This window comes from Homo sapiens, chromosome 2 (genome assembly GCF_000001405.40).
Source record: "Homo sapiens chromosome 2, GRCh38.p14 Primary Assembly".
In the NCBI taxonomy this organism is placed as follows: domain Eukaryota; kingdom Metazoa; phylum Chordata; class Mammalia; order Primates; family Hominidae; genus Homo; species Homo sapiens.
In genome coordinates, this window is record NC_000002.12 from 232,143,652 (window position 1) to 232,169,055 (window position 25,404).

The 25,404-nt window shown below is 39.3% G+C and overlaps 1 protein-coding gene across 4 annotated transcripts in view; it reads left to right on the forward strand.

The window, feature by feature from the left end:
- The window catches only part of DIS3L2 (DIS3 like 3'-5' exoribonuclease 2), a 382,638-nt gene that overhangs the window by 181,939 nt on the left and 175,295 nt on the right, over window positions 1-25,404 (forward strand). For all 4 annotated transcript variants that reach the window (NR_046477.2, NR_046476.2, NM_001257281.2 and 1 more), the window contains one exon: window positions 19,808-19,981. Coding sequence is in view for 2 of the 4 variants with exons in the window: in NM_001257281.2 (NP_001244210.1) it covers window positions 19,808-19,981 (174 nt within the window). In the remaining 2 variants the exon portion in view is untranslated. The remainder of the gene's footprint in view (window positions 1-19,807; window positions 19,982-25,404) is intronic.

Genomic DNA, 25,404 nt, shown 5'->3' on the forward strand with positions numbered 1-25,404 from the left:
TTTTAAAAATATTTATCAACTTTAATTACAAAGCATATTTCACAGGAAAAAGAATATATGTAACACTTCTATAATTTTTGAAACCTAATACTAAAACCAACCCATGAACTCATGAACCAGATTAAGAAGTATAACATCACCAATACTGTTCAAGTTCCCTGTCTGTTCTCCTGTATCCTAAACCATAATTTTTTCCCCAGAGGTAACCACCATCTCAAATATACTAATGAAAATGTATTTAAAAAAAAATTTACCCATATTTATAACCCTAAATGTTATTTTGTTTTGCTTGTTTTTGAACCTTTACAAAATACCGTGTTATATATATTCTTCTATCATTTGCCTTTTTTCATTTAACATGTTTCTAAAATATACTCACATATTTCACTCATTTTAGTCGATAATATTTCCATTTTCTGAAATATACCATAATTTAGCAATGTACATTTGGGTTGAACAGAGGATTTTGCTCCTGAAAACGTTCCAGTGCTCATTAACTAAAGTTTTTCTAGACTCTACTTAAAAAGGAAATTACTGAATCATACATAGGTACATGTTTAACTTTACAACTTTCTAGCCAAACCATTCCCAAAGTGATTGTACCCATTTTTAGTCCTGCCAGCAGTGTGTATGCAGTTCCATTGCTCCACATTCTTATTTACACTTGTTAGACTCATTTTTGCCAGCCAGGTGGGTAAAAATAGTGATAATCGTTGGGTGATTTTTGTTATTTTTTTCCTAATTACTGATGAGGTTGAACATCTTTCCATATACTCATGGTCATGTTTCCTCTTCTAGACAGTGTTTTCATGTTTTTACCCATTTTTTTAACAGTTAATTTTTTATTTAGATAATTTTGATTACAGAAATTGCAAAAATGGAACAGAGAGTTCCTGTATATCTTTTAACCTATCTTCTCCTTATGTTTACATCTTACATGACCATGGAATACTTATCAGAAGTAAGCAGTTAATCTTGGTATGATACCAAGTATAGGTCTTACTCAGATTTTATCACTATTTCCACTAACATTCTCTTTCAGTTGCAGAATCTGGGTCCAGAATCCCGTAATACAGTTAGCTGTGTCTCTGTAGTCTCTCCAATTTGTGACATTTCTTACTCTTTACTTGTCCTTCACGAACTTTACACTTTTAAAGAGTACTGGCCAGTGATTTTGTAAAACGTTTCTCAGTTTGTGTTTGTCTAATGTTCTCTCATGATTAGATCAAGATTAGACATTATTGGGAAAGATACCACAGAGGTGATGTGCATCTTATCGGGGGCACATAATGTCAGTAAGTAATACTGGTGATGTTCACCTTGATCACCTGGTTAAGGAGGCATCTGCCATGATTCCTAACTTACTACTTTTTTCCCTTGTAATTATTATACTGTATTTTTGGAAAGATTTTTTGAGTCTGTGTAATATTCTGTTTCTGCTTAATTTCACCCATTCATTTTAGCATACATTGGTGCTTTTACCCATTTTTAATTGGGCTGTTTGTCATTTGATTTTTTTGGAGTTAAAAATACATATTCCAGAAAGTAATCTTTTTAGCAGTCACTGATATGGAAATTATCTTCTCTCCAGTTTGTGAGTTGTCTTTTCCTGTTATTAATGGTATCTTCTGAAGAATAGATGTTTGAAGTTGTCTTTTTTGTTTGCTGCCAGCATGTAGAATTACAGTTAATTTTTATACATTATCCTATATCCAGCCATCTTGCCATATCCCCTTATTCATTTCAGTACTTGAGATGTAATTTCCTTTGGCTCTTCTATGTAGATAATCACATCATTGGTAAGTAATGAGAGTTTTATTTCTTCCATTCTAATCTGTATGACTTTTATTTCTTTTTCTTATCTTGAATTGGCAACTCACAATTGGAGAGGAGGTATTTCCCACACAGTAACTGATAAAAGTTCAGTTTTGAATAAAAGCAATAGTAGCAGGCATTTTTTTTAATTCCTGATTTTTTGATGTGTTAATAAGTTTGCTAATGTGGCAGCTAATTATGGTAGGACTGGATAATTTACTGAAGTACTTATCTTTGAGTTTTATTTGTTTTTGCCATCCTCTGTTTTCTTAGCTTTCCTTTGGCATTTCAAGGAAGAATAGTATGCCTCTCTAATAGGTACAAAGCATTAATTTGTTTATTTACATATTCAGTCACCAACATGTGTTGGACACCAAAGGCATACAAGTCTCAGTGGTACACAGAAATAAAGAAATGTTTATTCTTTTTATGGATGATCCCCCCCATCTATTGATAAGGAAGAGGCATACCTAAAGCACCATGACACAGCTAGAAAGTGGCACATGCAAGAAAGAGGATATAACCAAAGGATAGGGACAGTACTGATGAGGCAGATCCACTCTAGGAGACAGGGATGGCTTCCTGGCCTTGCTGCTATATTCCATGAAGATGAAATGATCTGGGTATATGCTTTGTGGGCCTAGTTCAACATGGAAGTTATAAAGGGAGCACCTTTAGGATAGAATTATGTTGCCTAAGGAAGGGCCATTTATGGTATTCTTATGCTCTAGAACCCAGCAGTTCCATGTCAGTGTGTAGTGAATACCTCTACAAGATCTATGATGCCAACAGTACTAAGATTTTATTTTTGGTAGTAAGAGCTTTACATTTTCTGTTGCAGAGTGAATGGAGGGAAAGGGAAGTTTGCTTCTCATGGATGATCTTTTTAAATAGTTTGTAGTAGGATGCTTTTAGCAGCAAATTATAAAAATGCCTGACTCAGAGTGACTTAATAAGAGAAAATATTATCTCATATAGTGGGAATTCAAAGGTTGTGCAGCTGCAGACCCAGTAAAGTCAGTGACTGGATGATGTTATCAGGTTGCCTTTTGCTGTCCTCAGCAATCCAGTGGTGGTTTCTCTATGGTTGTGAAGATGGCTGCCAGTATGATTAGGCTACCTGCTTTCTTGATGACATGTGACACAAAAAGGGAGACCCTGTCTGCCAACAATGCTATTGACTACAGTCACCAGGGGAGGCCATACACTGAATTTATTAGAATAATTAGTATCTGTCACTGGAGCTGAAGGTGAGATGTGTTTCCTGTATGAAAACTAGATTTTTGTGAGGAAGGAGGAAGACAGAAGTGAATGTTGGGTAGCAAACCAATATTGGGCACTCTAGTTTTTGTTATAATTATTTTTTGTATAATTTTTAAATTAAAAAACCTCCAACTTTGTGATATTAAAGGAAGCTTAGAAAATAGATTAAAAAGTCACTCAGAATCCTCTCTCAAATAATTAACACCATTTGTCCCTTTCAGCATTTTCATAAATGTTTTTACTTAGTTAAATCATACTCTACATACATCTTCAAAATTCTTTTTGTGAAATACATAAAAAATTGAAAAATATGACATGGTTTAGTTTATCATTTATCTGTTGCTTGACATCTAAATTACTTTTACTCCTTTTCTGCTCCAAGATTTTTAAAATAAACTTAATTTTAATTAATTAATTAATAAATAGGAATGGGGTCTTGCTGTGTTGTCCAAACAGGTCTTGAACTCCTGGGCTCAAGTGATCCTCCCACCTCAGCCTCCCAAAGTGCTGGGATTACAGGCGTGAGCTAGCATGTCCGGCCCATAAAAATAAACTTTATGTTTCAGAACAGATTTAGATTTACAGAAAATTGTCAAGATAGTACAGTTCTCACCTGCCCCTTCTCTCCTCCTCCAAAACTAGTTTTTTTCTCTTAACCAATATTGATACATTATTAATGGAGGTCCGTACTTTCTTCAAACTTTCTTGTTTTTAAAAATCTAATGTCCTTTATCTATTCCAGGATCTCATATTACATTTAGTTGTCTTGTCTCTTTAGATTCCTCTTGACTATGAGAGCTTCTAAGTTATTTTTGAAGGACATATTTTAATGCAGAATAGGATGAAATGTGGTTTTTAAGAGAATCACCAGATATTTTGACATAACATTGAATCATAGTTGTCCTAAAGCAGCTGTTATCTTTTCAGACAGTAAGCAGAAGACAGAAACTACTTAGAAAGTTGTAACATTTGAACTACATTACATAAAAGGGAAAGTTACTTTCATGATTCATTTTAAATAGAATTTACAATGAAATTAAATTTAAAATATAAAAATAAACCCTTCTGCAAGACAAATACACAATGTAAAAGTCAGTTCCCTAGTAGAATTTGGCTTTGTTTACCTACCAAAGAATTCTGGTTTTCAAGGTGACAGAAGAGTTCATGACTAAGTAGACAGGATAGGATTCTCTTTTCTCTTCTCTTCCCTTCCCTTCCCTCCCCTCCCTTTCCTCCCCTCCCCTCCCCTCCCCTCCGCTCCCCTCTTTTCTCCTCTCCTCTCCTCTCCTCTCCTCTCTTCTCCTGTCCCCTCCCCTCCCCTCCCCTCCCCTCTTTTCTTTTGACGGAGTCTCACTGTGTCGCCAGGCTGGAGTACAGTGGTTCAATCTCGGCTCACTGCAACCTCTGCTTCCTGGGTTCAAGCGATTCTCCTGCCTCAACCTCCCAAGTAACTGAGATTACAGGTGCGCACCATCATGCCCAGCAATTTTTATATTTTTAGTAGAGATGGGGTTTCACCATGTTGGCCAGGATAGTCTCGATCTCTTGACTTCGTGATCCACCCGCCTTGGCCTCCCAAAGTGCTGGGATTACCTGTGTGAGCCACCGCACCCGGCCAAGATAGGATTCTTTCTAGGGCATCTAAGGCCCCCAAAGCATGAGCTCTTTCAGCATGCTGATCTGTTAGATTTTTATCTGCCATAAGCTGTCCAGTCTATGCTGCTGTAAAATAGATCTCCAATGAAAGTCCGTAATAAATTTATTTAAATAAGGAACTTGAGAAATGTTCTCTGGAACTCGTAAAATAAATGTTAATTACTACTAATAGGAACTTGGAGTCATTGATCACATTTGGAAACCATAACTAAAATATAATTTTGTCTTTATGAGCCATGTTGTAATTTGAGTAAACAAATTGAGACTCTTTGGACTCAGAGTATAACCTGGTAAAACATTGTGTCAGAACTTTACAAAGCTCCAAAAAAGATGAAAAATTTTTTTTCTCCTTAATTTTCTTTCTTTTTTTTTTTTTTTTTTTTTTTTACACAGCCTTCTTAATCTACACATATGGCAAGCTAATAATTCCAAAAAAATAATTTCTTTCCTTTGTAGCCATTTAAAACTAACAGCTAGAAATATTTCTTCTTCCAATTATTAAAAATAAGCTGTTTCTGAGTCAGTGCTGACTACATTTACTGATTGAAGCAGCCAACTCCAAATATACCATCTTTTAGTATTGACACTTAAAATAAAACTTCTCCCCAGAAAAAGAGTTCTATAAATGATGGCTGTAGAAATAGGCACTGTCCAGGCAGTTGTTTTGTGGAAGTAGTGTTGTTATTTTCTGGTGTTTTCCAAGTCATCTCAGATGGTGCGTGAAAATGAGATGCCAAAGAAGGCTTAAAAAAGATACCCTGCACCAGCTTCAGAATGTAAGCAAATCTTTCATTCCAGCGCTTAAAAGTTTTTTTTTTTTTTTTATTATATTCTAAGTTTTAGGGTACATGTGCACATTGTGCAGGTTAGTTACATATGTATACATGTGCCATGCTGGTGTGCTGCACCCACTAATGTGTCATCTAGCATTAGGTATATCTCCCAATGCTATCCCTCCCCCCTCCCCCGACCCCACCACAGTCCCCAGAGTGTGATATTCCCCTTCCTGTGTCCATGTGATCTCATTGTTCAATTCCCACCTATGAGTGAGAATATGCGGTGTTTGGTTTTTTGTTCTTGCGATAGTTTACTGAGAATGATGGTTTCCAATTTCATCCATGTCCCTACAAAGGATATGAACTCATCATTTTTATGGCTGCATAGTATTCCATGGTGTATTTGTGCCACATTTTCTTAATCCAGTCTATCATTGTTGGACATTTGGGTTGGTTCCAAGTCTTTGCTATTGTGAATAGTGCCGCAATAAACATACGTGTGCATGTGTCTCTATAGCAGCATGATTTATAGTCCTTTGGGTATATACCCAGTAATGGGATGGCTGGGTCAAATGGTATTTCTAGTTCTAGATCCCTGAGGAATCGCCACACTGACTTCCACAATGGTTGAACTAGTTTACAGTCCCACCAACAGTGTAAAAGTGTTCCTATTTCTCCACATCCTCTCCAGCACCTGTTGTTTCCTGACTTTTTAATGATTGCCATTCTAACTGGTGTGAGATGATATCTCATAGTGGTTTTGATTTGCATTTCTCTGATGGCCAGTGATGATGAGCATTTTTTCATGTGTTTTTTGGCTGCATAAATGTCTTCTTTTGAGAAGTGTCTGTTCATGTCCTTCGCCCACTTTTTGATGGGGTTGTTTGTTTTTTTCTTGTAAATTTGTTTGAGTTAATTGTAGATTCTGGATATTAGCCCTTTGTCAGATGAGTAGGTTGCAAAAATTTTCTCCCATGTTGTAGGTTGCCTGTTCACTCTGATGGTAGTTTCTTTTGCTGTGCAGAAGCTCTTTAGTTTAATTAGATCCCATTTGTCAATTTTGGCTTTTGTTGCCATTGCTTTTGGTGTTTTGGACATGAAGTCCTTGCCCACGCCTATGTCCTGAATGGTAATGCCTAGGTTTTCTTCTAGGGTTTTTATGGTTTTAGGTCTAACGTTTAAATCTTTAATCCATCTTGAATTGATTTTTGTATAAGGTGTAAGGAAGGGATCCAGTTTCAGCTTTCTACATGTGGCTAGCCAGTTTTCCCAGCACCATTTATTAAATAGGGAATCCTTTCCCCATTGCTTGTTTTTCTCAGGTTTGTCAAAGATCAGATAGTTGTAGGTAAGCGGCGTTATTTCTGAGGGCTCTGTTCTGTTCCATTGATCTATATCTCTGTTTTGGTACCAGTAGCGTGCTGTTTTGGTTACTGTAGCCTTGTAGTATAGTTTGAAGTCAGGTAGTGTGATGCCTCCAGCTTTGTTCTTTTGGCTTAGGATTGACTTGGCGATGCGGGCTCTTTTTTGGTTCCATATGAACTTTAAAGTAGTTTTTTCCAATTCTGTGAAGAAAGTCATTGGTAGCTTGATGGGGATGGCATTGAATCTGTAAATTACCTTGGGCAGTATGGCCATTTTCACGATATTGATTCTTCCTACCCATGAGCATGGAATGTTCTTCCATTTGTTTGTATCCTCTTTTATTTCCTTGAGCAGTGGTTTGTAGTTCTCCTTGAAGAGGTCCTTCACATCCCTTGTAAGTTGGATTCCTAGGTATTTTATTCTCTTTGAAGCAATTGTGAATGGGAGTTCACTCATGATTTGGCTCTCTGTTTGTCTGTTGTTGGTGTATAGGAATGCTTGTGATTTTTGTACATTGATTTTGTATCCTGAGACTTTGCTGAAGTTGCTTATCAGCTTAAGGAGATTTTGGGCTGAGACGATGGGGTTTTCTAGATAAACAATCATGTCGTCTGCAAACAGGGACAATTTGACTTCCTCTTTTCCTAATTGAATACCCTTTATTTCCTTCTCCTGCCTGACTGCCCTGGCCAGAACTTCCAACACTATGTTGAATAGGAGCGGTGAGAGAGGGCATCCCTGTCTTGTGCCAGTTTTCAAAGGGAATGCTTCCAGTTTTTGCCCATTCAGTATGATATTGGCTGTGGGTTTGTCATAGATAGCTCTTATTATTTTGAGATACGTCCCATCAATACCTAATTTATTGAGAGTTTTTAGCATGAAGGGTTGTTGAATTTTGTCAAAGGCTTTTTCTGCATCTATTGAGATAATCATGTGGTTTTTGTCTTTGGCTCTGTTTATATGCTGGATTACATTTATTGATTTGCGTATATTGAACCAGCCTTGCATCCCAGGAATGAAGCCCACTTGATCATGGTGGATAAGCTTTTTGATGTGCTGCTGGATTCGGTTTGCCAGTATTTTATTGAGGATTTTTGCATCAATGTTCATCAAGGATATTGGTCTAAAATTCTCTTTTTTGGTTGTGTCTCTGCCCGGCTTTGGTATCAGAATGATGCTGGCCTCATAAAATGAGTTAGGGAGGATTCCCTCTTTTTCTATTGATTGGAATAGTTTCAGAAGGAATGGTACCAGTTCCTCCTTGTACCTCTGGTAGAATTCGGCTGTGAATCCATCTGGTCCTGGACTCTTTTTGGTTGGTAAACTATTGATTATTGCCACAATTTCAGCTCCTGTTATTGGTCTATTCAGAGATTCAACTTCTTCCTGGTTTAGTCTTGGGAGAGTGTATGTGTCGAGGAATGTATCCATTTCTTCTAGATTTTCTAGTTTATTTGCGTAGAGGTGTTTGTAGTATTCTCTGATGGTAGTCTGTATTTCTGTGGGATCGGTGGTGATATCCCCTTTATCATTTTTTATTGTGTCTATTTGATTCTTCTCTCTTTTTTTCTTTATTAGTCTTGCTAGCGGTCTATCAATTTTGTTGATCCTTTCAAAAAACCAGCTCCTGGATTCATTGATTTTTTGAAGGGTTTTTTGTGTCTCTATTTCCTTCAGTTCTGCTCTGATTTTAGTTATTTCTTGCCTTCTGCTAGCTTTTGAATGTGTTTGCTCTTGCTTTTCTAGTTCTTTTAATTGTGATGTTAGGGTGTCAATTTTGGATCTTTCCTGCTTTCTCTTGTAGGCATTTAGTGCTATAAATTTCCCTGTACACACTGCTTTGAATGCGTCCCAGAGATTCTGGTATGTTGTGTCTTTGTTCTCGTTGGTTTCAAAGAACATCTTTATTTCTGCCTTCATTTCGTTATGTACCCAGTAGTCATTCAGGAGCAGGTTGTTCAGTTTCCATGTAGTTGAGCGGCTTTGAGTGAGATTCTTAATCCTGAGTTCTAGTTTGATTGCACTGTGGTCTGAGAGATAGTTTGTTATAATTTCTGTTCTTTTACATTTGCTGAGGAGAGCTTTACTTCCAAGTATGTGGTCAATTTTGGAATAGGTGTGGTGTGGTGCTGAAAAAAATGTATATTCTGTTGATTTGGGGTGGAGAGTTCTGTAGATGTCTATTAGGTCTGCTTGGTGCAGAGCTGAGTTCAATTCCTGGGTATCCTTGTTGACTTTCTGTCTCGTTGATCTGTCTAATGTTGACAGTGGGGTGTTAAAGTCTCCCATTATTAATGTGTGGGAGTCTAAGTCTCTTTGTAGGTCACTCAGGACTTGCTTTATGAATCTGGGTGCTCCTGTATTGGGTGCATAAATATTTAGGATAGTTAGCTCCTCTTGTTGAATTGATCCCTTTACCATTATGTAATGGCCTTCTTTGTGTCTTTTGATCTTTGTTGGTTTAAAGTCTGTTTTATCAGAGACTAGGATTGCAACCCCTGCCTTTTTTTGTTTTCCATTGGCTTGGTAGATCTTCCTCCATCCTTTTATTTTGAGCCTATGTGTGTTTCTGCACGTGAGATGGGTTTCCTGAATACAGCACACTGATGGGTCTTGACTCTTTATCCAACTTGCCAGTCTGTGTCTTTTAATTGCAGAATTTAGTCCATTTATATTTAAAGTTAATATTGTTATGTGTGAATTTGATCCTGTCATTATGATGTTAGCTGGTGATTTTGCTCATTAGTTGATGCAGTTTCTTCCTAGTCTCGATGGTCTTTACATTTTGGCATGATTTTGCAGCGGCTGGTACCGGTTGTTCCTTTCCATGTTTAGCGCTTCCTTCAGGAGCTCTTTTAGGGCAGGCCTGGTGGTGACAAAATCTCTCAGCATTTGCTTGTCTATAAAGTATTTTATTTCTCCTTCACTTATGAAGCTTAGTTTGGCTGGATATGAAATTCTGGGTTGAAAATTCTTTTCTTTAAGAATGTTGAATATTGGCCCCCACTCTCTTCTGGCTTGTAGGGTTTCTGCCGAGAGATCCGCTGTTAGTCTGATGGGCTTTCCTTTGAGGGTAACCCGACCTTTCTCTCTGGCTGCCCTTAACATTTTTTCCTTCATTTCAACTTTGGTGAATCTGACAATTATGTGTCTTGGAGTTGCTCTTCTCGAGGAGTATCTTTGTGGCGTTCTCTGTATTTCCTGAATCTGAACGTTGGCTTGCCTTGCTAGATTGGGGAAGTTCTCCTGGATAATATCCTGCAGAGTGTTTTCCAACTTGGTTCCATTCTCCCCATCACTTTCAGAGTGACACCAATGAGACGTAGATTTGGTCTTTTCACATAGTCCCATATTTCTTGGAGGCTTTGCTTGTTTCTTTTTATTCTTTTTTCTCTAAACTTCCCTTCTCGCTTCATTTCATTCATTTCATCTTCCATTGCTGATACCCTTTCTTCCAGTTGATCGCATCGGCTCCTGAGGCTTCTGCTTTCTTCACGTAGTTCTCGAGCCTTGGTTTTCAGCTCCATCAGCTCCTTTAAGCACTTCTCTGTATTGGTTATTCTAGTTATACATTCTTCTAAATTTTTTTCAAAGTTTTCAACTTCTTTGCCTTTGGTTTGAATGTCCTCCCGTAGCTCAGAGTAATTTGATCGTCTGAAGCCTTCTTCTCTCAGCTCGTCAAAATCATTCTCCATCCAGCTTTGTTCTGTTGCTGGTGAGGAACTGCGTTCCTTTGGAGGAGGAGAGGCGCTCTGCGTTTTAGAGTTTCCAGTTTTTCTGTTCTGTTTTTTCCCCATCTTTGTGGTTTTATCTACTTTTGGTCTTTGATGATGGTGATGTACAGATGGGTTTTCGGTGTAGATGTCCTTTCTGGTTGTTAGTTTTCCTTCTAACAGACAGGACCCTCAGCTGCAGGTCTGTTGGAATACCCTGCCGTGTGAGGTGTCAGTGTGCCCCTGCTGGGGGGTGCCTCCCAGTTAGGCTGCTCGGGGGTCAGGGGTCAGGGACCCACTTGAGGAGGCAGTCTGCCCGTTCTCAGATCTCCAGCTGCGTGCTGGGAGAACCACTGCTCTCTTCAAAGCTGTCAGACAGGGACACTTAAGTCTGCAGAGGTTACTGCTGTCTTTTTGTTTGTCTGTGCCCTGCCCCCAGAGGTGGAGCCTACAGAGGCAGGCAGGCCTCCTTGAGCTGTGGTGGGCTGCACCCAGTTGGAGCTTCCCAGCTGCTTTGTTTACCTAAGCAAGCCTGGGCAATGGCGGGCGCCCCTCCCCCAGCCTCGTTGCCGCCTTGCAGTTTGATCTCAGACTGCTGTGCTAGCAATCAGCGAGATTCCGTGGGCGTAGGACCCTCTGAGCCCGGTGTGGGATATAGTCTCGTGGTGCGCCGTTTCTTAAGCCGGTCTGAAAAGCGCAATATTCGGGTGGGAGTGACCCGATTTTCCAGGTGCGTCCGTCACCCCTTTCTTTGACTCGGAAAGGGAACTCCCTGACCCCTTGCGCTTCCCAGGTGAGGCAATGCCTCGCCCTGCTTCGGCTCGCGCACGGTGAGCACACACACTGGCCTGCGCCCACTGTCTGGCACTCCCTAGTGAGATGAACCCGGTACCTCAGATGGAAATGCAGAAATCACCCGTCTTCTGCGTCGCTCACGCTGGGAGCTGTAGACCGGAGCTGTTCCTATTCAGCCATCTTGGCTCCTCCCCCCTCCTTAATTTTCTAAAGGTCCAATAACTGGTATGACAGGACTGTTTTAACAACTAATATCAGGTCCATCACTTCACTTGCTTCCTTTTGTCCTCCCTCCTCCTCACCCTCCCACCACTCCATTCATGGATCTAGTGCTCAGCGCCAGTCTTTGTGGAGGAATTTCTCCATCTCTTGGTACACCTCAGTTCATCACTTTGCAGTTTTTCAGAAAGGGCTTATGAGAACTATATTCCCTGAGTTCTTGTATTTAGAAATCTTTATCTTTGAAATCCAGTAACTCCACTAGAATATATTTCATTGGTGATTTTCTGTAATTTTCTTTTCTGAGACTTACCTTTCTGTAAACCTAAATTTTCTTTATTTCAGAAAAGTTTTCTTAATGATCTTGGAAAATGTTTTCTTTTCTTCATCTCTAGCTCCTTCCTTCAGTTATGCCGAAGGAAGGATCTAGAGATGAGGAATAGAAAATGTTTTCTGGCCAGGCGTGGTGGCTCACGCCTGTAATCCCAGCACTTTGGGAGGCCGAGGCGGGCAGATCACGAGGTCAGGAGATTGAGACTATCCTGGCTAACATGGTGAAACCCCGTCTCTACTAAAAATACAAAAAATTAGCCAGGTGTTGTGGCGGGTGCCTGTAGTCCCAGCTACTCGGGAGGCCGAGGCAGGAGAATGGTGTGAACCCGGGAGGCGGAGCTTGCAGTGAGCTGAGATCGCGCCCCTGCACTCCAGCCTGGGCGACAGAGTGAGACTCCATCTAAAAAAAAAAAAAAAGTTTTCTATTCCAAAGAATCTTAGAAAATGTTTTCTATTCCTCATCTCTAGCTCTGTATTTCAAGGATGCCTGGAACTCCTTGGTCTGCCTTTCACATCTGTCTGTTTTCTTTGTTATCTTTTTAAACTCTACTTGCCCAGTTTCATTTTCCTCACTTTTCTCAAGATTTTACTCTATGATCCTTATGGCTTTCAAATAGTGTCAGTTCTTCATTAGGTATTTCCAGTATGACTTTCACTTTCTGTGATAGTTTTATCGTTCTTTTCTACTTATTTCCTGAGGTCTAAAAACCTAGTTTTTGTTTCCTTTCATGACTTACTTATTCCTTATGCACTTGCATCTTTGCTTCAAGCTCTTGTTTTATAAAGCTTATATTTTTGGGAGTTCTTGAGAGTATCTTTGGTCATTTCTGTGGTTATATGCTTATAGAGATTGTTTTGTCCTTCTGCCATTTCTTTTTCTTGCTCCTTTTTTTCCTTTTAAATGTGGGTTTTTTTTTTAATAGAATGTTTGGATGGTTCCTTCTACTCTCCCTCCCTGGAATCTTTAAATAGTGAGTTCTTCCTGGACTTTAGTATTATATTTAAAAAACTGGACATTATAAAATGCTTTTTGTCTAAGTTTTTAGCCCCTTTTCTATTTTAGGCATAAGACAATCATTTAGGTCCGTATTGTATCCTGGAGGATAGCATTCCAACTTCACTCACTCTTAACTTCAAGGTGAGAATAGTATGGTCACTGTGTTCTAGGTCAGCCTCACAAACACTGAGACTCCCACCACATAGAAGAATTTGTTTCTTTTCGTATTAGTGTAGTTCTCTAATAAACTCTATGTGGTATATCTCATTTTTATACTTCTCCCAGAAGCTATGTATGCTATCTAATTAATGGATGGTTAGTTATTTTATGTAACTTTTAATACTATTAGGTAGAATCAGAAGAAACTGTGTTTTATATGTTAATAAATGGTCATATTGGCAATTTTCTGTGCCTCAAAATAATATATTATTAACTTCTTTATATTGTTGTTGCCATTCTTGAATTATTACTTCTGAGTAACCTCTCAGTTGGCTTGAGTTGCACATAAGTTTTTTTTGGGAAGGAAAGTACATAGCATATTTTCTGCCTTTTAATATCAGTCAGGGTTCTTGTAGTCTCAGATTCCAATTCAGAGGAATCATAATTATGTCCCCAGAGGTACTAAAACCTTTCAACTGTAGAGATGAGCATTATGTAGGCAAAACTAAATATTTTATGTGTGGGTCTTAAGTGTGATATTGAAAGGCCTGACTCCTCCCTTGCATTCTTTCTTCCCAAACCATGTACACTGCCTGTAGGATGCTAAATCAGAGCACCAATGCATCCTGGAGGATGGCACTCCCCCCTCACAACTGATGCCTCCTGGTTAGTCCAACAGCTTAGTAAGTCAGATCATTACATCATGCCAGTCAGTGAAATGTATGGGCTTTGCTTCTTCCAAAAGGTGAAGTCCTTAATTACAAACAATGTTGAGTGCGATAATAGCTTAAAAGATATTTCGTAAATCTGAGGATTGTGGTGTTTACATAAGCAATATAGGTAGAAGAAATGCAGATAGCAAACCTAGAGTAAGTGTCTCTTTTAGTGGAGGAATTACTGCCTTTCCCATCCTAAAAGAGCTCACTGGATGCGATCTGATGTGAAGTAGTTGGGGGTCCTCCTGGCATGGCTGTGTATCAGGTGCTCAGAGTTGGTTGCTGCTGCTGGCAAGCTAGCATCCTGCAAGAATGGTATTCAGGTCAGCATTAGTGAGAAGTGAATGTTGTGGAGTGCATTTCCTGCTGCCTTGTGCTTTGTTCCTATGTCCCTTGAGCAAGCACTGCAGCGATGGGGACATACACGGGCGCAGGCCATCCTGCCTCCACAGTGGGAGCCTTTCACTGTGCACTCTCATGGAGCACAAATAGTTATACCCTGTCTGGACTCATTTCAGTGGGCCCATTTCATCCACATGTCTTTTCCCTAGATGCCCTTGTCACCAGTACTCCAATCTTTCTTCTTTCAGGTCCCTATCCATCTGGTTAAACTTGTAGTCACTGCCTATCAGCCTATCAGGTTGTCCTTCCTCAGCTAAAGTGGACCACGGACATAGGGCTTGAAGTTCTGCCCACTGGGAGAAAGTTTCTGCTATATTGTCTTTTCAGAGACCATCCCTTACAATGGATTTAATGCTATCGTGTCCATTTATGACTCATGACAATGGAGGGTCAGTTGGAACTAGGCATTCAAGGTACTCAAACCTTTCTGCATCCTCCTTTATATCGTGTGTGTGTGTGTGTGTGTGTGTGTGTGCATGTGTGTGTTCGGGTTCTCTGAATCTTACTCTGTCTGATGAGTGTCCTACTTTTCACCTAAGTGACTTAATGAGACCTTAAATTCAATGGTGTAATGATTCATCACCCTTTCAATTTGTTTTTTCTGTCTTAGCCTGGCAGCTACAAGAGATTCAAGATACTTTTTTGTTGGACATACTAAGTCCCTAACTTTCAGTCTTAGAAATGAGGAATTTAGAATGAAGAATTTAGAGATGAAGCATGTAATTCTTTGTTTCTCCCCCTTTTTCTGGCTCTCGAAGCTTCTCACTGTTTCTGTGAGCCCTTTGATATCCTTTCAAGAAATTTCTTTTTTTCTTTTCCAAACAGCACTGGTCTTTTGTGCTTACAAACAAGAACCCAGACAGACAGTTAAAGACATTGATATTAGGAGACGAATGTAGGAAACAGAACCTCAGGGACCTGTGAGAATAATAAATGAGTTAGATGGGTTGGAAGTAACTCAGATTCCATTAATTTTCAGAATACAAAATAATTTTTAAAATTACTAATTATTACCTGTCATCACCAGAATAAAGTTGTCTTTAACCTAAACAACATTGTTATAAGTATTCGTCTTGTACTCACAGTGTTGAATTCCTGTGTCCTTCAAATTTCAAAGGTTGGGATAATAGGTCCCCCATATCTTCAGTTGGAACTTCACTCTAGTGAACACAGGTAATAATTTAGTCATTTTGAAAATTAATGGGACCTGAGTCTTTAATTGTCTGGGTTCCTGGTTACAAGCAAGAAAAACCAACTCTGGTTGGGAAAGGAATTTATTGGGAGGATACTGAAGAGCTCACTGAGCAAAAGACTTGAATGACCTGAAAAGGGATGTGAACTAAGGCAGCTCTGGAAAGCCAAGAACAAGAAGCCCAACCATCATCTTTTATCAGGATTAGTTTGGCTGTAATGCCAGTTATTCTCTTACCACCACTCTTGCAGGACACCATTTTCACTGGATGCTGCTGCCACCGCTGCTATCACGAGAAGCCATTCTAGCTGTCATGAGTGAATCCTAAGCAGCCTTTTGTCTTTGTGTTTCTGTCTACACATTCAAAGTCTTGAGTTGAGGCAGAGTTTAAGTCACACACAGTGTACTGGATTTTGGTTCTCACAGAGTGAGAGGAGGCTTGTATAAAGAGAGGCCAGGCATTATGTAGTAGGAAGCTGGTCACTTCCATGACGGGAATTGTAGTCCTTTGTCCTGCTTATAGGCAACGTGCAATTCTTCCTTTCCAGTTTGTATGCCCCTTCTTTTTCTTACTTTATGGCATTCACTAGTACCTCCAGTACAATGTTAAATAGTATTGGTGAAAATGAACACTTTGTCTTCTTTCTGCTCCAAGGGAAAGCATTTCACTTTTCACCACTAAGTTTTACATTAGTGCTAGGATTCTCATAGAGGCCTTTAACCAAGTTGAAGAAATTCCTGTTACTCATGTGCTGAGGGCTTTTATCTTAAGTGAATGTTGAAATTTTGTCAAATGCTTTTTCTTCATTTACTGAGATGATTATATGTGTTTGTTTTTTGTTTGTTAATATGTTGTATTGATTGATGTTTCATTGTTGGACAAATCTTGCATTATTTGGTCATGATGTATCACCTTTTTTATATATTACTGAATTCTATTTGCTAATGACCTTGTAAGAAGTTTTAAATTTTCTTTTTCAATAACTGATATACCTTTGTAAGAATTTTAAGTCTATGAGAGGTATTGATCTCATTAATCCTTTGGTTTTGATATCAAGGTACTGCTGTCTTCATTAAACTAGTTGGAAAGTATGCCATCTACCTCTTTATTCTAGAAGAGTTTATGTAGAATTGGCAATAATTCTTTCTTAAATACTTGGTAGAATTCACCAGTGAAGCCATCTGGGTCTGGAGTTTTCTATGTGGGAAGGTTTCAAACTGTGAATTCAGTTTCTTTAATAGATACATTAGATAAAATAGATAATAGGTAGATTAAATAGGAATATTCAAGTATCAATTTATTTTAATTATCCTAGGCAGTTTGCATCTTTCAAGGAATTTGCCCATTTCATCCAAGATGTTGAATTTATTGTCTTAAAGTCATTCATTATTCCCTTATCCTTTTAATGCTTGTGGGATGTAAAATGGTGTCTCCTCTCTCATTCTTGATATTGGTAATTTGTGTTTTTCCCTCCTTGTTTTTCTTGATCAGTCAGGCTAGAAATTTATCTGTTTTTCTCTTTTCAAAGAATTAGCTTTTGAGCCAGGTGTGGTGGCTCAAAGCTGTAATCCCAGCACTTTGGGAGGCCGAGGTGGGCAGATTGCTTGAGCTCAGGAGTTCGAGTCCCAGCCTGGGCGACGTGGCAAAACCCCATCTCTACAAAAAATACAAAAATTAGATGGGCCTCAGCTACTCAGGAGGCTGAGGTGGGAGTATTGCTTGAGCCTGGGAAGTCGAGGCTGCAGTGGGCCATGATTGTGCCACTGCACTTCTGCCTGGGTGACAGAGTGAGACCCTGTCTAAAAAATAGAATTAGTTTTTTGTTTTATTGATTTGTTTTCATTATTCATTCATTTTTGTTTGTTTGTTTGTTTGTTTTTTTGAGACAGACTCTCACTCTGTTGCCCAGGCTGGAGTACAGTGGCGTGATCTCGGCTCACCGCAACCTCCGCCTCCCGGGTTCAAGCGTTTCTCCTGTCTAAGCCTCCAGAGTAGCTGGGACTGCGGGCATGCACCATCACGCCCAGCTAATTTTTGTATTTTTAGTGGAGACGGGGTTTCACCATGTTGACCAGGATGGTCTCAATCTCTTGACCTCATGATCCTCCTGCCTTGGCCTCCCAAAGTGCTGGGATTACAGGCGTGAGCCACCGCGCCCAGCCTATTTGTTCATTTTCTATTCATTGATTCTTGTTTCTTCATTATTTCTGTCCTTCTCCTTACCTGGAATCTAATTTGTTCTTCAGTTTTTTAACGTAGAAGCTTAGATCACTGATTTGACACTTTTCTTCCTTTCCGATGTGAGCATTTAATGCTGTAAATTACCCTCCAACCACTATTTTAGCTACTTCTCACAAATGTTGACATGTTATGTTTTCATTCAATTCAAAATTCCCTTCCTCCCTCTCTCCATTACTTCCTTTCCTTTCTTTTTTGAGATAGCATCTCGCTCTGTCGCCCAGCCTGCAGTGCAGTAATGCCATCTTGGCTCGCTGCAACCTCCATTTCCTGGATTTAAGTGATTCCTTTGCCTCAGCCACCCGAATAGCTGGAATTACAGGTGTGTACCACCACACCCAGCTAAGTTTTGTATTTTTAGTAGAAACGGGGTTTCACCACGTTGGCCAGGCTGGTCTCAAACTCCTAGCCTCAAGTGATCCACCCGCCTTGGCCTCCCAAAGTGATGGGATTACAGATGTGAGCCACCGTGCCTGACCCCAGTTCAATTTTTTTTTTTTTGGAGACAGTCTCACTCTGTCACCAGGTTGGAGTGCACTGGCATGATCTCGGCTCACCGCAACCTCTGACTCTCTGGTTCAAGGGATTCTCCTGCTTCAGTCTCCTGAGTAGCTGGGATTATAGGCACGCATCACCACGCCCAGCTAATTTTTGTATTTTTGATAGAGACGGGGTTTCACCATGTTGGCCAGGATGGTCTCGATCTCCTGACCTTGTGATCCGCCTGCCTCAGCCTCCCAAAGTGCTAGGATTACAGGCGTGAGCCACTGCACCTGGTCCAAAATATTTTCTAATTCTTTTTTTATTTCTTCTTTAACCTATGGGTTGTTGGATTTCCACATATTTGGGGATTTTCCAGATTGCTTTCTGTTAATTTTTCTCTCATATTTTTGCTGTCTGGCTTTTTGATGTGTTTTATGGGAGAGACCACCCATTTGTGGAGAAAGTACTCTTCTGAGTCCACATCATATGGGAGGAGCCCACAGGTCAGTCTGCAGGCTGCCGAGATCATAGGCTGGTGGGCGGGTGCACAAGTAGACTGGGCTGGTCTCTCTTGACTAGTGTGAGAAATGGGGCCAGCCCTGCTGCCATCACTGCTGCATTCCAGTGGCAAGGCTGAAGATTGGAATTTGTTAAAAGTCTGCTTATGAGGCAACCACCTCCCCTATTCCTCTTTACCACTGTGCACATAAGAACTCCAGCAGCCAAGCATCTACCCTTATTTAGGAAACAGAACCTTTTTCATAGAAATCGAATAGCCTGAGAGAATGTCCTGATGCCATAGCTAAATTTCTTGCAGAAAGTGCTGAGGGCGGACTCTTGGAGCACCCTGGTAGATAAGTAGACTTGTACAACAGAGGAGATGGCCATTTTTGGTCTCCGCAATACCCTCTACAAAGGCAGCCAAGGCCCATAACACATTTCCTGTTGGCTGCCTGTATTCAACGCACAAATTTAGACTTGTGATCTGTATGTGGCATGACAATGCTTATGAGAATAGAGAGCTGTCAATTTGGTAAGGAGTGAGATCTGCCTTCTGAAAGGTGGAACCCTGTTCATAATGTTAGCATTGTCCTGTTAAATGCAATTTTATTTTTAATGGGCCAGTGCCCTAAAATGTGCATGGGTGACTGGTTTATGGATAATTTTAATTTTCTTCTCAGTGGATTTTGTGTTTTCTAACTTCTTTGCAATGAACGTATATTACTTTTGTGTTTAGATAAAATATTTTAAAATTTTAAAGATTAAAAACTGGTAGAGTTGTGAAATAGGAACATCAGAATTAATCTAGTAAGCATGACTTAACGTACAGGCACTCTGAAACTAATGATTTAATAGCACACTGGATTGATCATAATATCAATTTTGACTTCTCTGTGAAGAACAATTGGAGGGGTCCTAAGGAAAGCCTTCTGGCTCTGTTTCTCAAGTCAGAATGTCAAATAAAAAAAGGTGAAATTACACTGTAGTTACCGATTTAACAGGAGAAGAGCATTACTGTGTCTTCTGCTTTCCCATTGCCAGTGATTTACGGATGATCATGTTTCTACTGGTGGAAGGGCAGGAGATTTTAAACTTTCCCACTACTTTACTTTTAGAGAGGAGACAGGTACCTATGTTCCATTTGTTTGCTAACCCAGTTATTCCGTTTCTGTTCTATCCATAGGCAGCTGGCTAAGAGTCTTGGGCAGGCTGGTGAAATTGAGCCTGAAACAGAAGGAATACTAACAGAGTATGGCGTGGATTTCTCTGATTTCTCTTCAGAAGTTCTAGAATGTCTTCCTCAAGGCCTGCCATGGACAATTCCACCAGAGGAGTTCAGCAAGAGAAGGGATTTAAGGTAAGCACCTGAAACCCTTTAAGAACGTATATCTCCCTTTCTGCCTTAACTTTCCTAGGGGCTAGGCTTAGATGTTTTCATCTTTCCACGAACATTCAAGTTCAGTTCAGTTGGGAATAGGTGCTTCTGTACCACAGTTGGCAAATTATGGCCCACAGGCTAAATCTAGCCTACTACCTGTTTATGTACAACCCATGAGCTAAGAATGGTTTTTACATTTTTAAATGGTTGGAAAAAATTAAAACAAGAATAATGTTTTATGAAAATTATATGAAATTCAGATTTCTGCGACCATAAAGTTGCATTGGAACATGGCCATGCTTATTCATTATCTATGTTGCTTATGGCTGTTTTTTGCCCTACAACAGCCCAGTTGATTAGTTGCAACCAAGACCATATGGCCTGCAAAGCCAAAAGTAGTTACTGTCAGCCTTTTACAGAAAAAGTTTACTGATCCCTGTTCTAGACCATTCTAACTTCAAAAGCTACAGTGCCTATCTTCTCATTGCCATAGATCTGGTCAAGTACAGACTGTTATCTAGTGAGAAGTGCCTTCCTTTAAATGGGCCTCTTCAGGCACAGAGCAAAGGATTCAAGACTTCTGTACTTGGAGCCTCATTTTAAAGCCTTACTTTTAGGTCTGGAATTTGTTGGAAAGTACTTTCGTGGTATTTTTATAACAACATCTTCTTTGAAGATGTTTCTTCATTGTGGGATGTTAGTTCTTTTCTGATATTTCTCTTCAGAATTTGGTTTCAGTACTGGCACTCATTTTGGATGCCACATGGAGATATTTAGAACCAAGAAACTTTTCATACAACCCACTGAGGCTGTGGAAGGTTTTTGCTAAGGTCATCCCATGTCAAAGTCTTTTCCACCACACTTGCTCGCTTCATGCAGCTGAACTTATGACACCTTCAGCTCTGGGTGCCTGTTACCCACCTAGTTTGTGAATACTCCCTCTCTGTACCTTCTTACTATTGTATCTTTTAGTAATTTACTGCCTTTTTCTTTTCTTATTGAGGTTAGGCAAGGAAAAGGAGATGATCATTAGTCCCCTTTCCTACTTGTTAGTATCTCTCATAGAACACATATTACATTTGAAGTCAGTTAACCCATATTGCATTGCTGGATTTTCATAATAACCCCTCTATCACTGAACCCCTGCTAGCACATGGGTGTGTTATCTCTTCAGGGGCTCCGAGGTCTTGGGCCCATAACATTAACCTCTCTGAACCTTTGTTTTCTCATATACAAATTGAGGGGTTTGTTTTCTGAGGTCATTTCCTGAATCTAGGAATCTATCTAATGATTTAATGGGAAAAGAATGCTAGAATAAATGGTTGAACATTATTGTTTAGTAGAATTTAGTGTAGCCATGCTGCAGTATCTATCAACATTTTAAATGTACCTACTCCTGCACCCCAAACTCTACTCGAAGTGTACAAAAATATATGTACAAGAATGTTCATTGCTGTCTTGTCATAAAAGTTAAACATTAAAGACACTGCTAATGTCCATTAATAAAGGAATGGTTTAGTAACCTGTGTTATGTCAATATGATAGCATTCCTTGCAGCTCTGCAAAAAGGAGCTATATCCATGTTGACTTTCCTAAAAGAATAGCTATAATATATTATTAAGTCAAGCAAGTTTCAAAACAATATGAATATGAGCCTATATTTTGTAAAGTAATACAAAAACTACATAAATATACACATATACATATATGTGTGTATACGTATACACATCAAAGTATATATGCATAGAAAAAGGCCTGGAAGGAAATAAACTGTTAACAGTGACTACCATGGAGAGTGGATTCAGTGGAGTGGTAAGGCAACAGGGAAGTGAACTTTGACTTTTCATTTTGCATACTGCCATACTATTCAAATTATTATTATTATTTTTAAGACAGCATCTCACTCTGTTGCCCAGGCGGGAGTGCAGTGGTGCAGTCATCGCTCACTGCAGCCTTGAATTCTTGGGCTCAAGTGATCTTCTGCCTTAGCCTCCCAAAATGCTGGGATTATAAGCATGTGCGACCACACCCGGCTAATTCTTTTATTTTACTTTTGTAGAGATGGGGTCTTGCTATGTTGAGCAGGCTGGTTTTGAACTCCTGGCCTCAAGAGATCTTCCTGCCTTGGCCTCCCAAAGTGTTGGGATTACAGGCGTGAGCCACCACACCTGGTCCAAATCTTTTTTAAAGTAACTTGTATAACTTTAAAAAATTATAAATGTGAAAGTCACAAAATAGAAGTATTCCATTTTTTCTAGCCTTTTAGCCTACTGGTAAATAATAAGCATGTTAGTAGTTATGGGGCCCAATATTGCAGTAAATTCCCCTCTCATGGCTCTATCTTGCCATTTCTTTGACCTTTATTGCCTTCTGGTTTAGACCATAGAATAAGAGGTCCTTAGTGAGACCCTGTCTCTACAATAAATAAATAAATAAATAAATAAATAAATAAATAAATAAATAAAATATTAGCCAGGCACAGTGGTGTGTGCCTACTTGGGAAGCTGGGGCGGGAGGATTGTTTGAGCCTGGGAGTTTGAGGCTGCAGTGAGCTATAATCATGCCGCTACACTCCAGCCTGGACAACGGAGCAAGACTCTGTCTAAGGGAAAAAAGAAAAGAAACCTTGCTCTGCAGAAAGCCTTTGTTAAAATATATCTTAAATACACACACCACACACACACACGCGTGCGCGCGCGCCCTGTGAAAGGATCCAAAGACAGAAGGAGTTTGTAGGGTGCTCTCTGCTATTCATGAAGTAACAAGGATTTTTTAAAAAATTACTTTTGGGCCGGGCGCCGTGGCTCAACGCCTGTAATCCTAGCACTTTGGAAGGCGGAGGCTGGCAGATCATGAGATCGAGACCATCCTGGCCAACATGGTGAAACCTCATCTCTACTAAAAATACAAAAATTAGCTGGGCATAGTAGTACGCGCCTGTAGTCCCAGCTACTTAGGAGGCTGAGGCAGGAGAATCGCTTGAACCCGGGAGGCGGAGGTTGCAGTGAGCCAAGATCGCACCACTGCAATCCAGCGTGGCGACAGAACGAGACTCCATCAACAACAACAACAAAAAATTACTTTGGGCTGGGCACGGTGGCTCACACCTATAATCCCAGCATTTGGGGAGGCCAAGGTGGGTGGATCACTCGAGGTCAGGAGTTGGAGACCAGCGTGGCCAACATGGTGAAACCTCATCTCTACTAAAAATACAAAAATTGGCTGTGCATGGTGGCAGGTGCCTATAATCCCAGCTACTTGGGAGGCCAAGGCAGGGGAATTGCTTGAACCCAGGAGGCAGAGGTTGCAGCAAGCTGAGATCATGCCACTGCCTGGACGATAGAGTGCGTCTCAGTCAAAAAAAAAAAAAAATTACTTTAACCTTAAAATAGGTTATCCTTGCCCATTATCCTCAGGATTATGTTTCTAAAATTCAAATCTGATTTATTTTACTCCTTTGCATTTAAATTTTTTCTAATGTTTCTTAATGCCTAAAGTAGTAATGTCTGAAGTTTAGAAATTACTACTTTAGGCATCAAGAAGTAATATAGTAAATTACCACTAATGCTTGTCTTTATTTTAAAACTATACATGAATTTACTACATTGATAGTCTATTACGTACATTATAAATGTAAGTGAAAATAGAAAAATAAAAATGTAATGAGAAATAAATTTTTAAATATTTTCATTTTACTTACGAAAAGTATAGAAAACTGTTTATATAGTAATTTTACTTTTGGTGAAAGCAGTATGGTTGAATAATATTCTTTATTTATTAAAATTTTACTTTAACAACTAATAATATGGAAATTCAGAGATCTGATTCTAAGTTCTGTATGTTTTGGTACTTGGTTTTGATGATTATCATAATTGAAAAGGATATATGTTTAGAAGATGTGAGCTGTGCTTACAAAATCCTAATACTCATTTCTCAGTCCTATTCGCCAATTATATTCCAATTCATTTTGAAATTCAGCTAGTAAATTTCCATCTTTTCTGATGTCAGTTCTTGTGGATTCATTGAAAGGTGCTGCGTTTTTAGATTAAAAAAATAGATTTATAATCTCCAGTTACTCTTTAGTTGTTATCTTTAAAAACTAGTTAAAAAATTCAGCCAGGCACATTGGCTCACACCTGTAATCCCAGCACTTTGGGAGGCCAAGGTGGACAGATCACCTGAGGTCAGGAGTTCGAGACCAGCCTGGCCAACATGGTGAAACCCTGTCTCACTAAAAATACAAAAATTAGCCGGGTGTGGTGGCAGCCACCTGTAATCCCAGCTGCTCGGGAGGCTGAGGCAGGAGAATTGCTTGAACCCGGAGGCAGAGGTTACAGTGAGCCGAGATTGTGCCACTGAACTCCAGCCTGGGTGACAGAGCAAGACTCTGTCTCAAAAAAATAAAAATAAATAAAAATAATTCTATTAGGAAGTTTAAGTCTATGGATATGAATGTTTTTGTAGTTTATACACTTACATCATTTTAGTCCCCAAATAATATAACAATGGAAGTATTTCAAAACATCCATTTAAAAAAATGTTATCTTTAAAATTCGAGTATGTTATTTTGTTTTCAAAATGCAATAATTTTTTTTCTTATTGTTAAAATATCACCTTTACCTTGAAGGGACAGATTAAGCATGTTTAATTTTCCTAAAGTATCTGATAGGTAACATATGACTGATAGCCATTGTTTTGAAATTATAATGTGGCTGGAGATGAATTCATATTAGACACAGAAGAAATGTCAGTGTTGCCATTTTTCTAGTGTTAATGATACTACTAGGAGTATTAGTGGTTTAGTATTATCTTCAATATATGGACTTTGCAGTAATCTTTTTTTAGCCAGTTGCCTTTTTTTTTGCAAGGATTAGTTTAGCTAAAACTAGACAATATCCATAAATCCATGTATCTGGGCATGAGTAAAGACCCATTATTTGCACTTGGCAAAAGCATAGGAACCAAGAGTGCCACTGTCATTGCCTTTGTGTTGCAGAACGCCAACTTTTTCATCTGTACACCTCACCTACCACCTGACCCACACATAGTGAGGGTGCCAGGGTTAATTCATGTAGTTATGTAGTGTCAGTTAATTCCTTATTTTTAACACACATAAAGAGAAGCCATAAGTGTGTGGAATGAGCTCCAGTGATGTAGTTGGTTAGCATGCAGTACTGTACAGCAGTAGGTAAGCATGTGGAGGTATTTGGATCTGATAACCTTTTCCTTTTCTTTGACTGGTTTTATGATGGAGTCATTCAGTTTTTATACCAAAAATATTTATGGAACACCAACCATGGGCACTGAGGATACAACAGTGAACAAAAATAGATGTATTCACTGCCCTTGTGGAACTCTCAGTTTGGTGGCAGAAGAACATGAATGAAACTATTAAGCAGTAG